The 15,822-nt window shown below is 48.5% G+C and overlaps 1 protein-coding gene and 1 pseudogene across 23 annotated transcripts in view, besides 2 other annotated features; one reads left to right on the top strand and one right to left on the bottom strand.

The window, feature by feature from the left end:
• The window catches only part of PXN (paxillin), a 55,284-nt gene that overhangs the window by 33,747 nt on the left and 5,715 nt on the right, over positions 1–15,822 (bottom strand). For 2 of the 23 annotated variants that reach the window (NM_025157.5, XM_047429236.1), the window contains exon 1: positions 5,690–5,970. The exons of the other annotated variants lie outside the window; for them this stretch is intronic. The gene's annotated coding sequence lies outside the window, so the exon portion shown is untranslated. Of the gene's footprint in view, positions 1–5,689; positions 5,971–15,822 lie in introns of those variants that run through there. 23 annotated transcript variants of the gene reach the window in all.
• Positions 653–1,479: an enhancer, noted in NCBI's record as "H3K27ac-H3K4me1 hESC enhancer chr12:120682649-120683475 (GRCh37/hg19 assembly coordinates)". NCBI's record gives its function as "activates a minimal SCP1, AML or CMV promoter by ChIP-STARR-seq in naive H9 embryonic stem cells {active_cell/tissue: H9 hESC(naive)}" and the evidence as "EXISTENCE:reporter gene assay evidence [ECO:0000049][PMID:30033119]".
• RPS20P31 (ribosomal protein S20 pseudogene 31) lies at positions 3,267–3,598 on the top strand (annotated as a pseudogene).
• Positions 6,352–6,401: an enhancer, noted in NCBI's record as "active region_7137". NCBI's record gives its function as "activates an Ori minimal core promoter by ATAC-STARR-seq in GM12878 lymphoblastoid cells {active_cell/tissue: GM12878}" and the evidence as "EXISTENCE:reporter gene assay evidence [ECO:0000049][PMID:35858748]".

The raw sequence follows: 15,822 nt of genomic DNA on the forward strand, positions 1-15,822 counted from the left end.
CAGCAAAACTCCTACCCTAAAATAAACAAACAAAAAAATAGCTGGGCATGGTGGCCACATCTGTAATCCCAGCACTTTGGGAGGCTGAGGTGGGTGGATCACAAGGTCAGGAGTTCAAGACCAGCCTGGCCAAGATGGTGAAACCCCATCTCTACTAAAAATACAAAACTTGGTCGGGCGCGGTGGCTCACGCCTGTAATCCCAGCACTTTGGGAGGCCGAGGCGGGCGGATCACGAGGTCAGGAGATCGAGACCATCCTGGCTAACACGGTGAAACCCCGTCTCTACTAAAAATACAAAAAAAATTAGCCAGGCGTGGTGGCGGGCGCCTGTAGTCCCAGCTACTCGGGAGGCTGAGGCAGGAGAATGGCGTGAACCCGGGAGGCGGAGCTTGCAGTGAGCAGAGATCGCACCACTGCACTCCAGCCTGGATGACAGAGTGAGACTCCGTCTCGGAAAAAAAAAAAAAAAATACAAAACTTAGCTGGGCGCAGTGGCAGACGCTTGTAATCCCAGCTACTTAGGAGGCTGAGGCAGGGAAGTGTTTGAACCTGGGAGGCAAAGGTTGCAGTAAGCCAAGATCACGCCACTGCACTCCAGCCTGGGTGACAGAGCGAGACTCTGTCTCAAAACAAATAAATAAATAAAATAAAATAAAATAAATAATAAATAATAAAAAAAAATCAAAGGAATAGTCCACAAGACTTTGTGGCTGGAGCATAGCCCCTTGTGGGTACTTAAGGTTTAAACTCACTGGGTGGCCTATCTGGCTTCCTTTGTGGGTGGGGAAGGGGAGCTCCAAGAGGTGGGCTCAGGGCATAGGAATGAGGCAGCTGGGAGGGAGTTGGGGCCTGGGACTGGGTGACTCTCTGGCTTGGTGCTGGGGAAGGAGGAGGAGGGGCATCACGTAGCAACAGAGCAAGAAGGAACAGGAGTGTGGCAGCCCCAGGCCCTGCAGATCTGGTCACACCTCTCCCCATGGAGCAGAGGAGGCAGGGGACATGAGCTGGAATGTGCGATTTTCTCAAACGTGCACCACCGGAATGTGTCAGCAACACCAAGTGTGGGGCTGTGTAGCCCAGAGAGACTGACAGCATCGATTATCATGACTGAAGCACAGATGGGATGAGCCACAAAGCACGTACAGATTAGTGAGGCTGAGGGAGTTCACAGGCAGGGAAACTAGCCAGGGAGGAAGAAGACAACACGTTCTCAGACGAGAATGGGAAAAGGAGGGGAAGAAAAAAAAAAACAAAACAATGTTTTCCTGACATTTTTGTTAACTTCTTTAGTCTTCAAAAAAAAAGAATGCGGCCGGGCACAGTGGCTCACGCCTGTAATCCCAGCACTTTGGGAGGCCGAGGTGGGTGGATCACAAGGTCAGGAGATCAAGACCATCCTGGCTAACACGGTGAAACCCCGTCTCTACTAAAAAATACAAAAAATTAGCCGGGTGTTGTGGCGGGCACCTGTAGTCCCAGCTACTTGGGAGGCTGAGGCAGGAGAATGGCGTGAACCCAGGAGGCGGAGCTTTCAGTGAGCCGAGATCGCACGACTGCACTCCAGCCTGGGCGACAGAGCGAGACTCCATCTCAAAAAAAAAAAAAAAAAAAAGAATGCTAGAAATATTATAGTAAATTTGTGGACAAACATAAAAGGTGGACTACATAGTACGGGTTTCATAATATATGTAGAAATAACAAAAAACAGGAGGGGGAAATGGAAATATACTGTTCTTACATTATACGTGAAATGGTATGGTATGATTTGAAGGCAGATTGTGATTAATTTAAACCTGCAAACCACAGAGTGACCACTAAAATCAAACCAATGAAGTATAGCTAAATAAGCAAAGAGTGGAAATAAAACAGAACCCTAAAAAATACTCAATGAATCTAAAACAAGGCAAGAGGCCAGACACAATGGCTCACACCTATAATCCCAGCGCATTGGGAGGCCAAAGCAGGAGGATTGCTTGAGGCCAGGAGTTAGAGACCAGCCTGGGCAACACAGTGAGATTCCGTCTCTACAAAAATAAAAATAAAAAATTAGGCTGGGCACAGTGGCTCATGCCTTTAATCCCAGCACTTTGGGAGGCTGAGGTGGGCAGATCACTTGAGGTCAGGAGTTCGAGTCCAGCCTGGCCAACATGGTGAAACCCCATCTCTACTAAAAATACAAAAATTAGCTGGGCATGGTAGCGCATGCCTGTTATCCCAGTTCCTCCAGAGGCTGAGGCATGAGAATCACTTGAACCTGGGAGGCAGAGGTTGCAGTGAGCCATGCACTCCAGCCTGGGGGACAGAGAAAGACTCTGTCTCAAAAAAAAAAAAAAAAAAAGAAAAAAGAAAAGAAAAAGAAAAAAGAAAAATTTAGCCAGGCCAGGCGCGGTGGCTCATGCCTGTAATCCCAGCCCTTTGGGAGGCTGAGGCAGGCAGATCGTGAGATCAGGAGATCGAGACCATCCTGGCTAACATGGTAAAACCCTGTCTCTACTAAAAATACAAAAAAATTAGCTAGGCATGGTGGTGCGTGCCTGTAGTCTCAGCTACTCAGGAGGCTGAGGCAGGAGAATCACTTGAACCCGGGAGGCAGAGGTTGCAGTGAGCCAGGATTGCGCCACTGCACTCCAGCCTGGGCAATAGAGTGAGAATCTGTCTTAAAAAAAAAAAAAAAAAGAAAAATGTAGCCGGGCATGTTAGCATATGCCTGTAATTCCAGCTACTCGAGAGGCTAAGGCAGGAGGATCACTTGAGCCTAGGAGTTTGACACTGTAGTAAGCCATGACTGTACCACTGCACTTCAGCCTGGGTGACAGCAAGACCCTGTCTCTATAAAAAAAAATTTTAAAAAAAAGAAGGCTAGAAAAGAAGAAAGAATAAACAGATGGCACAAATGGAAAATGAATGGCAACATGATAGACTTCAGTCTAACCACATTGATAATTACTTTAAAATCTAAAAGGTTTATATACTCCAATTAAAAGGCAGAGATTTTCAGCCTGGGTAGAAATGCAGTATTTAATACATGCTATCTACAAGAAACATACTTTACATATAAAGACACAGATAGATTCAGTATAAAGCAATGGAGAAAGATATACCATGCAAACACTAATATCAAGGAAGGCAGAGTGGCCCTTTGAGGGAGCCAGCTGGCAGCTGCCACTAAACTCTGGTGTGCCCTCGCCTGCTCCTGAGTTGCCACTGTTTGCCCTCACCCCAGAACAAGTCAGCTAGGAAGCCACACCACAGCTATGGCTTTCAAAGCCATCCGTGGAACTAGAGGTGGCAATTTATTAAATCAGAATTACCCTAGCCTGCCGCAACATCAAATCTCTGGAGAAGGTGTGTGCTGACTTGATCAGAGGTGCAAAGGAAAAGAATCTCAAAGTGAAGGATCAGTTCAGATGCCTATCAAGACTCTGAGAATCACTATAAGAAAAACGCCTCGTGATGAAGGTTCTAGGACAAGGGATCGTTTCCAGATGAGAATCCGCAAGTGACTCACTGACCTGGATGGTCCTCCCGAGATTGCTAAGCAGATTACGTCCATCTGTACTGAGCTGAGATTCAAGGTTAAAGTCACCACTGCAGATGTTTCAAGCAACTATTTTATTAACAGAATAGCAGTTGTTTAAAAGAAAAAAAGAAAGAAAGTTGAAGTGCTTCTGTTAATATCAGGCAAGGCAGACTTCCAGACAGGAATATTACCAGAGGTAAAGAGGGACATTTCATAATGATGAGTCAATTCATCATGAAGACATAATCATCCTAAATGTACACCCACTCAACAACAGAGCTCTAAAGTAGATAAAGCAAAAATGGACAAAATTGAAAAGAAAAAGTGACAAATCCACAATCCTAGTTGGAAACTGGAGACTTTGACTCTCCAGTTGAGAAAGCTCAATAATTGAGAAAAAACTCTTCCAAAGGAAGCCAGTGGAAGATATAAGCAAATAACCCAAGAGAGGTGAAGAGCAGGAGGACAGAGGGCTGCCAGACTGCTGGTCTGGGGAACATGAGGGACCCCAGCCTTTGCTCACGGTAGAAGAGGGGGCTGGAGGATGGCCACAGAGCAGGAAATGCTCCCTCCTCTGTCCACAGCCCCTAGACCTTCCCCAGAGGGAAGCACGCCAGCTCACACCACACTTCTCCTGGGGTCATTTTCAGTCCCTGATAACCCTGGATAGGGGTCAGTGTTCAACAGCCCCCACTGCCCTCAGCAGACACCTGGTTGACTATGTTTCCTCAATTACTGCACCCCCAAGCACACCATATACAATCCACAGATGACTTTCACACACACACACACACACACACACACACACACACACACACACACACACCAGACTGTCCCCTCTCTTCCCTCCTCCCCAGTGGCACCGCGTGGCATCACCCTCATTGGCGAGCAGGAATCAGAACAGAGTCTACAATGTCAGCAAAGGGCTGTATGCGACAGTCACTGAATCCAATCCCAGCTCCACCACTAATCAGCAACTAACCTCGGGCAAGTTGCTCACCTCTCTGTGCTTCAGTGTCGTCAGCTAGAATACCTACTTCAGAGGGCTGTTGTGAGGAAATGATAAGGGAACGTAAGGGAGGTATTTAGAACAGTGGCTGCCACAGAGTGAGTAACACTATATTAATGCTGGCAGTTATGGCCAGGTGCAGTGGTTCACGTCTGTAATCCCAAAACTTTGGGAGGCTGAGGCGGGTGGATCACCTGAGGTCAGGAGTTTGAGACCAGCCTGGCCAACATGGTGAAACTCCATCTCTACTAAAAATACAAAACTTAGTCAGATATGGTGTTGGGCACCTGTGATCCCAGATACGTGGGAGGCTGAGGCACGAGAATCGCTTGAACCTGGGAAGCAGAGGTTGCAGTGAGCCAAGATTGCACCACTGCACTCCAGCCTGGGCGACAGAGCAAGACTCTGTCTCAAAATAAATAAATAAATAAATAATAAAATAAAAATCCACAAAACCCCTTTTGTAATTGTGGTCTTAGATGGAAGCTCAATATATAAACAGAGAAAAGTAAGCAGCTCTGACTGAAGAAGATGACGGCCACAAACTCCCAAGCATAGGAGGAAATGACATCCTAAGGTTCCTTCCAGCTCTGGAAGCACCAGAGGACTCTAAGAAAGAATGGATCAGTCCAGAAGCACAGAGGGGGAGTGCAGACTGATAATACCCAACAGGCCATTAGGAGGGAAAATCTCAGACAGTCGAAGCAGGGAGAAGAGGAAGGACAGAGCCCAAGCCAGTGGTGCCCAAAGGAGCTGCTACCAGCAATGCCCTCAATTGCCAGTGATCAGCCAATCAAGCATCCCCCAGGATGGTGACACCCCAGCCCCCATGCTTTGGCCAAAGTCAGGCAGATAACAGCTGTCTCCTGGTCACTGTTCCTGCTGCTCTAGAGGCACAAACAGGATGTTTAGAAGCAGATGACCACAAGTGACCACAGGAAGCCATGACAACCGCCTCCAGGTAACGATCTTCTTCCCCAGCTTCTTTCCGGCTTGGCTGCCTCCAAAGACCAGACAAAAAGACTTCAAGTGCCAACTTCCAAAGAGAGAGAAGGGGGAGGAGTTCTTGGAAAGTTCAGGACACAGCAGAAGAGGCCATTTGAGGTGGTGAGGCAGGGAAGAAATGAGACCACCCAGCTATCCCAACAGCTACCTCACCTCAAAGACGCATTGTGCCTGATGAAGCTAAGCAGGGGTGAAGAAACTGCACATCCACTGCTTGGGACAGAGGACCTTCCAAGACAGGCAGCATGTGACCAGGCAGGCTCAGGAGGGCTGCCAAGTCGTGTCTCTGAGGAGTGACTGCAGTGTTCCAGGCATCACGACCACTCCTCCACACCCACCCCAGAGGAGCCCATCCCACTCAGCTGTCCCAGAGCACATCAGTGATGAGAAACTGCCTTAGCCGGCCAGCCGAGCCAGGAGTACACAGGGGAAATGGCAAATCCAGAGGAAACCAAGTGCAGGCCATTGGACACTCCCATTTCCACCTAAGGAAGAGGAATGTTCCTGGAAACAGAGGGGGCAAAGCTCGGCCAGGACTCTCTGAGCCACTTCAAACCTCCAACAGAGCCCAGGGTGGGTCCCACAGATCAACTACCCCTAAAGGGGTACAGTCACTGGGCCAGCTTCATGACACAGCTGTGTCCACTCAGTGTACAACCACCAAGTTCACAGTCCAGAAAACCAACTCTCCTTTTTTCTACTGCTACTAGGAGCCTCAGGGGCCAGACCACCCCATGAGGCTTTCTGGATGCCTAGAGTGCTAGGAGAAGCCCAGGGCTGATCTGGGAGTGGATCTCAGCACAGCTCCCTGTGGCAGCTCTCACTAATATTAGTGTTAGATGAGCGATTAGTATAAACCAAGCCACCAAGCCACCTCCTCCCCCACCACTTCCTCATGAAAGCCACCAAAGAGGCTCAGGGGAAATTAAAAGTCATATAACCAAAACCCAACTTAACACCACCAGCCCAAGGGTGTGGCCATTTCACCTCCACAGCAGAGTTCCAAACATTCTCCAACCCATGGCGCCATGAAGAGTCCTAAATCACATTCTTCCAGAAAGTAACTGAAGTCAGATTCTTCCCCCAGGCCTAGCTAAGCAACCAAACAGGGCCAATTGCACTAAGTGCCCACCAAGGCCACGGGAAATGCAGCCAACCTAAAGATGAAGTGGAAGCTTAAATTCGAAGAGTGGGCCAGGTGCAATGGCTCACGTCTGTAATCCCAACACTTTGGGAGGCCGAGGTGAGCAGATCACTTGAGGCCAGGAGTTCAAGACCAGCCTGGCCAACATGGCGAAACCCCATCTCTACTAAAAATACAAAAAATTAGCTGGGTGTGATGGCAGGTGCCTGTGATCCCAGCTACTCGGGAGGCTGAGGCAGGAGAATCACTTGAACCCAGGAGGTGGAGGTTGCAATGAGCTGAGATCACGCCACTGCACTCCAGCCTGGGCAACGGAACGAGACTCTGTCTCAAAAAAAATCAATTAATTAAAAAATAAATAAGGCCCGGCATGGTGGCTCACGCCTGTAATCCCAGCACTTTGGGAGGCCAAGGCAGGTGGATCACTTGAGGTCAGGAGTTTGAGACCAGCCTGGCGAACATGGTGAAACCCCACCTCTACCAAAACTACAAAAAACAGCCAGCATAGTGGCGCATGCCTGTAATCCCAGCTACTCAGGAGGCTGAGGCAGGAGAATCACTTGAACATGGGAGGTGGAGGCTGCAGTGAGCTGAGATCACGCCCCTGCACTCCAGCCTGGATGACAAAGCAAGACTCCATCTCAATAAATAAATAAACAAACAGGCCGCTGCGGTGGCTCACTCCTGTAATCCCAGCACTTTGGGAGGTGAGGTGGGCAGATCATTTGAGGTCAGGAATTCAAGACCAGCCTGGCCAACATGGTGAAACGCTGTCTCCACTAAAAATACAAAAATTAGCTGGGCGTGGTCGTGGGCGCCTGTAATCCCAGCTATTTGGGAGGCTGAGGCAGGAGAATTGCTTGAACCCGGGAGGCAGAGACTGCAGTGAGCCAAGATTGTGCCACTGTACTCCAGCCTGGGCAACAGAGCGAGACTTGGTCTCAAAAATAAATAAACAAACAAACAAATAAATGCCAAGAGAATGATACCAAAAGCCAAACCCTCCACCCCAGGAGTTGTCAAGATTATCCCAAGAATGAACGATAACCATCACCAGTTACTGAGCACTTTGAAAGTATTTCGGGAAAGTATGTCAGGAAATGCACCTATTTCATGGATTAGGAGACCAAGGCTCAGAGTGTAAAGTGATCTGCCAGGGTCACACAAGTAGTAGGCAACAGCATTGATACAGAACCAAGTGTGGCTGATGTCAGAGGCTGGGTTCTATGCCACCTCCCCACCCCAAACCCAGAGAGAACTCAGGTTCTCCAGAGGAGGAAGTGGTTTGCTGCAGGCTCAGCATCACTGTGGGTGTCGCAGTTCATACCCATTTAATCACCAACCACCATCAAGTAGTTATTAAGTGACCGCAGAGAGAACAGCACAGTGCTTGGTGGCAAGGGGTATTTGAAAGGCAGATAAAATCCCTGTCTTCAAAGAGCTTACGGGGCAGAGCGGGAGACAGAAGAAAGCCTAATTTACACAGATCTGTAAAGTTTTACCTTAGCAGGAGGGTCAACAGGCTGGTTAGTTTTATCGGGGAAAAAAGCCTTCTCAAAAAGGTGGATTCAGCTAAGATTTTAAAGGCAGAGGGTAAGGTGAGTCAGGAGAAGGCTATTTTCTGCAACTTGAACCAACATCTAGACTCAAGGCAGAACTGAGTGGTTGGCATGGTCAGAAGTCAAATGTAATTCAGAGACTGCAATACAAGATACCCCCTAGATCTGGCAACTGCATTTGTCATTAAACATCGAGCACAGAGAGTTCTTAGAATCCCCCAAAGCAGGGGCCAAGTAGGAATATGTGTGAGGCAAGTGAGACCCAATGTAGGCAACAGAGAGGGTCAAATACAAGGCTGGAGCTATTGAGGTTAACCAAGTGGTGACACAGAGTACACACATCCCATGAAGCCTGATCTGATTTTTCAAAAGAAACGACATGTAATGAAACTCCGTCTCTACTAAAAATACAAAAATTAGATGGGCGTGGTGGCGGGCGCCTGTAATCCCAACTACTCGGGAGGTTGAGGTAGGAGAATTGCTTGAACCCAGGAGGCGGAGGTTGCAGTTGAGCCGAGATCATGCCACTGCACTCCAGCCTGGGTGACGCAGTGAGACTCTGTCTCAAAAAAAAAAAAAAAAAAAAAAGGAACAACATGGACTTTTTGGTGCAATCTCCTGATGTTTTAAATGTTGGCAACTAATTTGGAATATTTTGAATACCATGCAGACCAAGCAACAAGGGTCTGCAGACCAAATCTGACCCGTAGATTTCTGATTTCTACCTTGAGGTTTCCCATATGAAAAACCAGAAAGAAGACCAGGCATAGTGGCTCACGCCTGTAATCCCAGCTCTTTGGAAGGCCAAGGCAGGTGGATCACCTGAGGTCAGGAGTTTGAGACTAGCCTGACCATTATGGTGAAACCCCGTCTCTACTAAAAATATGAAAAGTAGCCAGGCATGATGGCACACGCCTGTAGTCTCAGCTACTCAGGAGGCTGAGACAGGAGAATTGCTTGAACCCCAGAGGCGGAGGTTGCAGTGAGCTGAGATCACGCCACTGCACTCTAGCCTGGGTGACAGAGCGAGACTCCATCTCAAAAAAGAAAAAAAAGAAAAAGAAAAAAGAGACCGGGCTAGTTGTGGGAAGACCCACCCAAGGTGCAGGTTCTTGCATCATTGCCTGTGGTAACACTGGGTGTGTTCCCTTCCCCTAACTCCTCTGGGCTTCAGTTTAGCTTCCTCTGAAAGTAGAAAATAACTACTATCTACCTCAAAGGGTGGCTATCAGAACCATATAAAAAATGATCGTCAATGGACAAATAATTAAAATGTGGTTTATACATCCATTGTATATAGATACAGTGAATTATTCAGCCTTAAAAAGGGAGATTCTGCCCATTTGCCACAGCATGGAAGGACGTGCTAAGTAAGATAAGCCAGACACAACAAGAAAAACATTGCATGATCTCACTTATATGTACTATATACATATATTTATTTATTTATTATTTTACTTATTTTTGAGATCGAGTCTTTCTCTGTCACCCAAGCTGGAGTGCAGTGGCGTGATCTTGGCTCATTCCAGCCTCCACCTCTTGGGTTCAGGCGATTCTCCTGCCTCAGGCTCCCAAGTGGCTGAGACTACAGGCCCGTGCCACCACGCTTGGCTAATTTTTATATTTTTGGTAGAGAGGGTTTCGCCATGTTGGCCAGGCTGGTCTCGAACTCCTAACCTCAGATGATCCACCCACCTCAGCCTCCCAAAGTGCTGGGATTACAGGCGTGAGCCACCACGTCCAGTCCAATATATATATTTATATATCTATAAAGAGGTCAAATACAGAGATCGAGAATGAAACAGTGGTTACTATGGGTGGAAGTGGAGAATGGGGAGACGTGGGTCAAAGAATACTAAGTAGCAGATACACGAGATGCACAAGTTTAGAAATCTAATGTATGATATGAGGGCTGAAGTTAAGAAAATCGTACTCGGGATTTTCGGATTTTTGTTACATAAGTAGATTTAGCTGCTCTTGGCACACAGGAAAGTAGCTGTGAGATGACTGACAGGTTAATCTGCTTCACTTTAGCAACCACCTTACTATCTGTACGTATCCTATGACAACATGTTGTAAACCTCGAATATACACAATAAGGTTTAGTGGTTCTTTTGTTTTTGTTTTGTTTTTTTTGAAATGGAGTCTCGCTCTGTCACCCAGACTGGAGTGCAATGGTGTGATCTCGGCTCACTGCAACCTCCGCCTCCCAGGTTCAAGAGATTCTCCTGCCTCAGCCTCCCAAATAGCTGGAATTACAGGCACGTGCCACCACGCCCAGCTAATTTTTGTAATTTTAGTAGAGACGGGGTTTCACCATGTTGGCCAGGCTGGTCTTGATCTCTTGACCTCAAGATCCACCTGCCTTGGCCTCCCAAAGTGCTGGGATTACAGGTGTGAGCCACAATGCCCGGCCTAAGGTTTAGTTTTTTAAAAAATAAAGAAGCACATGAAAATATTTCCTCAAGCTTAACGTGCTACACAAATGCCCATTATCTAATACAGGCCCAGAGAAGAGAGGGGGCGCTAACAGAGAACAGGCAGTAGATGGGGCCTGGGAGAGTGAAAAGGAAATGAGAAGGGAGTAGATGAGAAGGGAGAGTGGAAAGGAAATGAGTTGAGTCTCTGCTGGTGCGCAGACCGGAAGAATCTGGACAATAGAATTCACGTCAGGGGTGGAAATATAAATTTGGGAGTCACCAGCACACAGGTTATAAAAGAGGTCATGCAGTTGATTAACTGACCGAGGTGCATAGTTGAAAAACAAGGAGTTCAGAGAAATCCTTTGGGAAAACACCCAGGTGCACCTCCACTCAGGGATCAGAGGAGACTTGGGAAAAGAAGGTGGGAGGGTCTCTGGAGAAGCAAGCGGAGCTTAAGGAAGGGAGAAAAAAATATGCAGCTAAAGGGTGAGACAGGTGTCTCAGCAAAAGAGCAAACGTGGAAGAATGGGTCAGACTGTGTTAAAATTTAAAAAGGAACAGGCCGGGCGCGGTGGCTCACACCTGTAATCCCAGCACTGGGAGACCGAGGCAGGCAGATCACAAGGTCAAGAGTTCAAGACCAGCCTGGCCACTATGGTGAAACCCCATCTCTACTAAAACCACAAAAATTAGCTGGGCATGGTGGCGGGCGCCTGTAGTCCCAGCTACTCAGGAGGCTGAGGCAGAAGAATCACTTGAACCCGGGAGGCGGAGGTTGCAGTGAGCCAAGATCATGCCACTGCACTCCAGCCTGGGTGACAGAGAAAGACTCTGTCTCAAAAAAGATAATAATAAATTTAAAAATAAATAAAATAAAAAGGAGCAAAGTAAAAAAGTTAGTAAGTGCAGGTCAGGCACAATGGCTCACATCTGTAATTCCAACACTTTGGGAGGCCGAGGTGGGCGGATTACCTGAGCTCAGGAGTTCGAGACCAGCCTGGCCAACATGGCAAACGAAACCCCATCTCTACCAAAAATACAAAATTAGCCAGGTATGGTGGTGTGTGCCTGTAATCTCAGCTACTGCGGACTGCGGGGGGTTGGGGGGGGTGGGGCGGAGGCAGGAGGATCGCTTGACCCTGGGAGACAGAGGTTGCAGTGAGCCAAGATCATGCCACTGTACTCCATTCTGGGCGGCAGAGCAAGACTCTCTAAAAAACAAAACAAAAAACTGAAGTTAGTAAAAGCAGAAAAGTAAAAAGAGGGAAACAGGCAAGACACATGGTGGCTCACACTTATAATACCAGCACTTTGGAAAGCCAAGGCAGAAGGATTGCTTGAGGCCAGGAGTTCGAGACCAGCCTGAGAAACATAATGAGACTCCGGCTGTATAAAAAATAAAAAATTGGCCAGGCATGGTGGCACGTGCCTGTAGTCCCAGCTGCTCAGGAGGCTGAGGGCAGGAGGATCGCTTGAGTTGGAGGTTACAGTGAGCTGTGATCAGATCACTGTACTTCATCCTGGGCAAGAGAACAAGACCCTGTGAGAAAAGAGAAAGAAGAGAAGAGAAGGAGAGGAGAAAAACGGAACCAGAAGAAAAAGGAGAGCCAGGTGGACCTGCAGATGGGGACATCGGGGCCACATGGGGCCACAGCCATCTACACTGACAGAAGATGATGACCATGAGGTATAAAAGGGGGTAGAAAGATGGGGACGTGGGGGGTGGAGTAAAGCGTGAGCAAATAGAGGCCATCCTTGAGGATCTGTCTACTATGTGCTAAGCACCTCACTCAGTCTCCCAACAATGTGGAAGGCAGGCATTACACCCATTTCATAGCCTGCTTTCAATAGGGTTTTTTTTTGTTGTTGTTGTTGTTTTTGAGACGGAATCTCGCTCTGTCACCCAGGCTGGAGTGCAGTGGCCTGATCTTGGCTCACCGCAACCTCCGCCTCCCAGGTTCAAGGAATTCTCCTGCCTCAGCCTCCCGAGTAGCTGGGATTACAAGCATGCGCCACCACGCCCAGCTAATTTTGTATTTTAGTAGAGATGGGGTTTCTCCATGTTGGTCAAGCTGGTCTCGAACTCCCAACTTCAGGCCTCAGGTGTTCCACCTGCCTCAGCCTCCCAAGGCTGGGATTACAGGCATGAGCCACCGCGCCTGGCCTCAGTAGGGTTTTTATGTTTTAGAAGAGGCCAAAGTCTCCAAGGCTCATTCAAAACAATACACACAGACCGGGATCCAGAAGAGAATCGGCCTGAAGCTCCCTGGAGCTCCCTGGAGGGTTCCACCCCCCTTGCTCCAGCTCACCCAGAGTTCTACGATTCAAAACAGCTGGAAATGTGTGCCCTGCTCTCCCCAACAAGAAAACAGAACAGAACATGGCTGTTTCTGCCAAGCGAATTCTGAATAAGCTGCATTCCATTTCATTAAAACAATTACCTGAGCTCCAGCCAAGAATTACATAAAGCTTCCTCCCAGCATCACCCCCTCCCCCATAAAACACACATCATGCTGCTTTCAAATAGGCAGAGTGAAGCTCTGAGCCCTCGCTAGAAGACCTCATAGTCCTCGCCAAGTGGCCAGCCTCGGCATCTCTGCACGCTGACATAGATGACATGAGGCTGAAAGAAGACCTTGGCATGAAGCCCTCCCCTCATGAGAGCCTGCTGGCTGCCCGAAATGTTTCTAGTAGGCACCAGGGCCCTCACCTCTGCCTCAGAGCCAAGAGGGCCACTGGTGCCAGAATCCAGCTATTTCCCCAAAACAGACTGGAGGTCCAAGAGGGCCAGCTTTGAGTCAGCACAAACTAGACAGGAGGGACCAAGGGAGTGGGGATTCCAGGAGGGGGAGCCTGAAGGCTGGAAAACTGGATGGTCAGACTTGAGCTATAAGCAAAAGCCTGGGGACACTCAGCCATCACTGCCCACAGGTTAATGGTGTTCCACTGGCCACAGATAAGGGGTTCATGATGTGAGGCAAAAGACATCTCCTCCCCGCCCACAGGCCTCAAGCTGCCCAGAGACCGTTCCCTGAATTATGTAAAGCCTTGCTGTGGCTGGGCACCGTGGCTCACACCTGTAATCCCAGCACTTTGGGAGGCCAAGGCGGGCGGATCACCTGAGGTCAGGAGTTCGAGACCAGGCTGGCCAACATGGTGAAACCCCATCTCTACTAAAATTACAAAAATTAGTCAGGCGTGATGACGCACGCCCATAATCCTAGCTACTGCGGAGGCTGAGGCACAAGAATCACTTGAACCTGGGAGGCAGAGGTTGCAGTGAGCCAAGATCACACCATTGCACTCCAGCCTGGGTGACAGAGTAAGACTCCGTCTCAAAAAAAAAAAAAAAAGTCTTGCTCTGCATCCCATCAGCCTAGACAACCCATCTCAAACTCCAACCAGAGTTCGGCATCTCACATGCTTCAACCCTGGTCTGATTAATGTCATCATGCTCAAATAACTCATGAGGCTGCCTCCACACCTATGGACACACACTGTCTCTGGGCCTGTCTTTTTTCTGCACAGGTCACAGCACTGTGCTCCCCATTTCCCAGATGATAGTCAGCAGTCACTGTCACCTGAGGCCCCCCCAGCTACTGTCTCTGCTCACCCAGTCTTCCCACCACCTGCTCAATCACAGGAGACCAGCAGTCATTCAGGCCAACCATAGGCAGGCGCAGGCCAGCACCTAGGCCCAACAACTCCAAGCCCATCATGGAAAAGCAGGGTTTCCTTACTTTTCTCCAACTTTTCATTATAAAAATGTCTAAGCACACAGAGAAGTTGAGAGGCCCGGGTACTCTCACTTAGATTGAATGGCTGTCATTGTTTTACCACTTTGTGTAAACGCATGGCCCTTGTGCTCTCTGCCCTTTATGTGTATATCCTTTTTTTCATTATATCATTTAAAACTAAGTTGAGCTGGGTGCAGTGGCTCACACCTGTAATCTCAGCACTTTGGGAGGCCGAGGTGGGTGGATCACCTGAGGTCGGGAGTTTGAGACCAGCCTGACCAGCCTGACCAACATGGAGAAACCTGGTTTCTACTAAAAATAAAAAAATTAGCCAGGCGTGGTGGTGCATGCCTGTAATCCCAGCTACTCGGGAGACTGAGGCAGCAGAATCGCTTGAACCCAGGAGGCAGAGGTTGTAGTGAGCTGAGATGGTGCCACTGCACTCCAGCCTGGGCAACAAGAGCAAAACTCTGCCTCAAAACAAACAAACAAAAAAAAACAAATAAAACTAAGTTGAGGCCAGGTGGGGTAGCTCACACCTGTAATCCCAGCACTTTGGGAGGCTGAGGCAGGTGGATCACCTGAGGTCAGGAGTTGAAGACCAGCCTAAACAATATGGTGAAACCCCACCTCTACTAAAAATACAAAAATTAGCCGGGTGTGGTGGCATGCACCCATAGTCCCAGCTACTCAGGAGGCTGAGACAGGAGAATTGCTTAAGCCCAGGAGGCGGAGGTTGCAGTGAGCCAAGATCGCGCTGCTGCACTCCAGCCTGGGTGACAGGGCAAGACTCTGCCTCAAAAATAAAAAATGAAAAAATAAAAATAAGTTGCAAGACATCATGACACTTCACTCCTAAATACTTTAGCATGCACCTAACAATAACAATATTCTCCCATAAAACCACAATACCACAATCACACAAGAAATAAGCATTAAAAGTCCGTCTTTAAGGGAAGATTTGGCCACTGGGGTTCCACTGGGCCTGGCCAACCGCATGTTCTGTCTACCACTGGCCCAGCATCCAAGGCCTCCCTGGAGAGGCCAGCCCTGAGCACCACTGGTTAGGCAATCGGTTAGTTAGTTGGAAGACTTATCAGGGTATGAATGTACACTCAAGGCCAGATATGAGACTCCCAACAAGACCCAGACTGCAAAAGGCAGAGTGGACCCCGTGAGGCTGTCGATGGAGTCTCAGGGCCCATCCCAGGTGAGGAGGGCACCCTGAAGCCATTTCCATGACTTGCTTTGTGAACATTTCTGAGAAAACTCAGCTTCCTGATTCTCTCTTCCTCTCCCCCTCCCATAGGACATCCTTCATTCTCCACCATAAAGTTTTCAACAACTCCCTCCTCTGGATACGGGAAAGACAAGGAGCATGTTCGGGTGCAGCGGGGCTGGGGGCACAGGAAGGCTTCTGATT

The sequence above is a fragment of the Homo sapiens genome, chromosome 12, assembly GCF_000001405.40.
Source record: "Homo sapiens chromosome 12, GRCh38.p14 Primary Assembly".
Classification (NCBI taxonomy): Eukaryota; Metazoa; Chordata; class Mammalia; order Primates; family Hominidae; genus Homo; species Homo sapiens.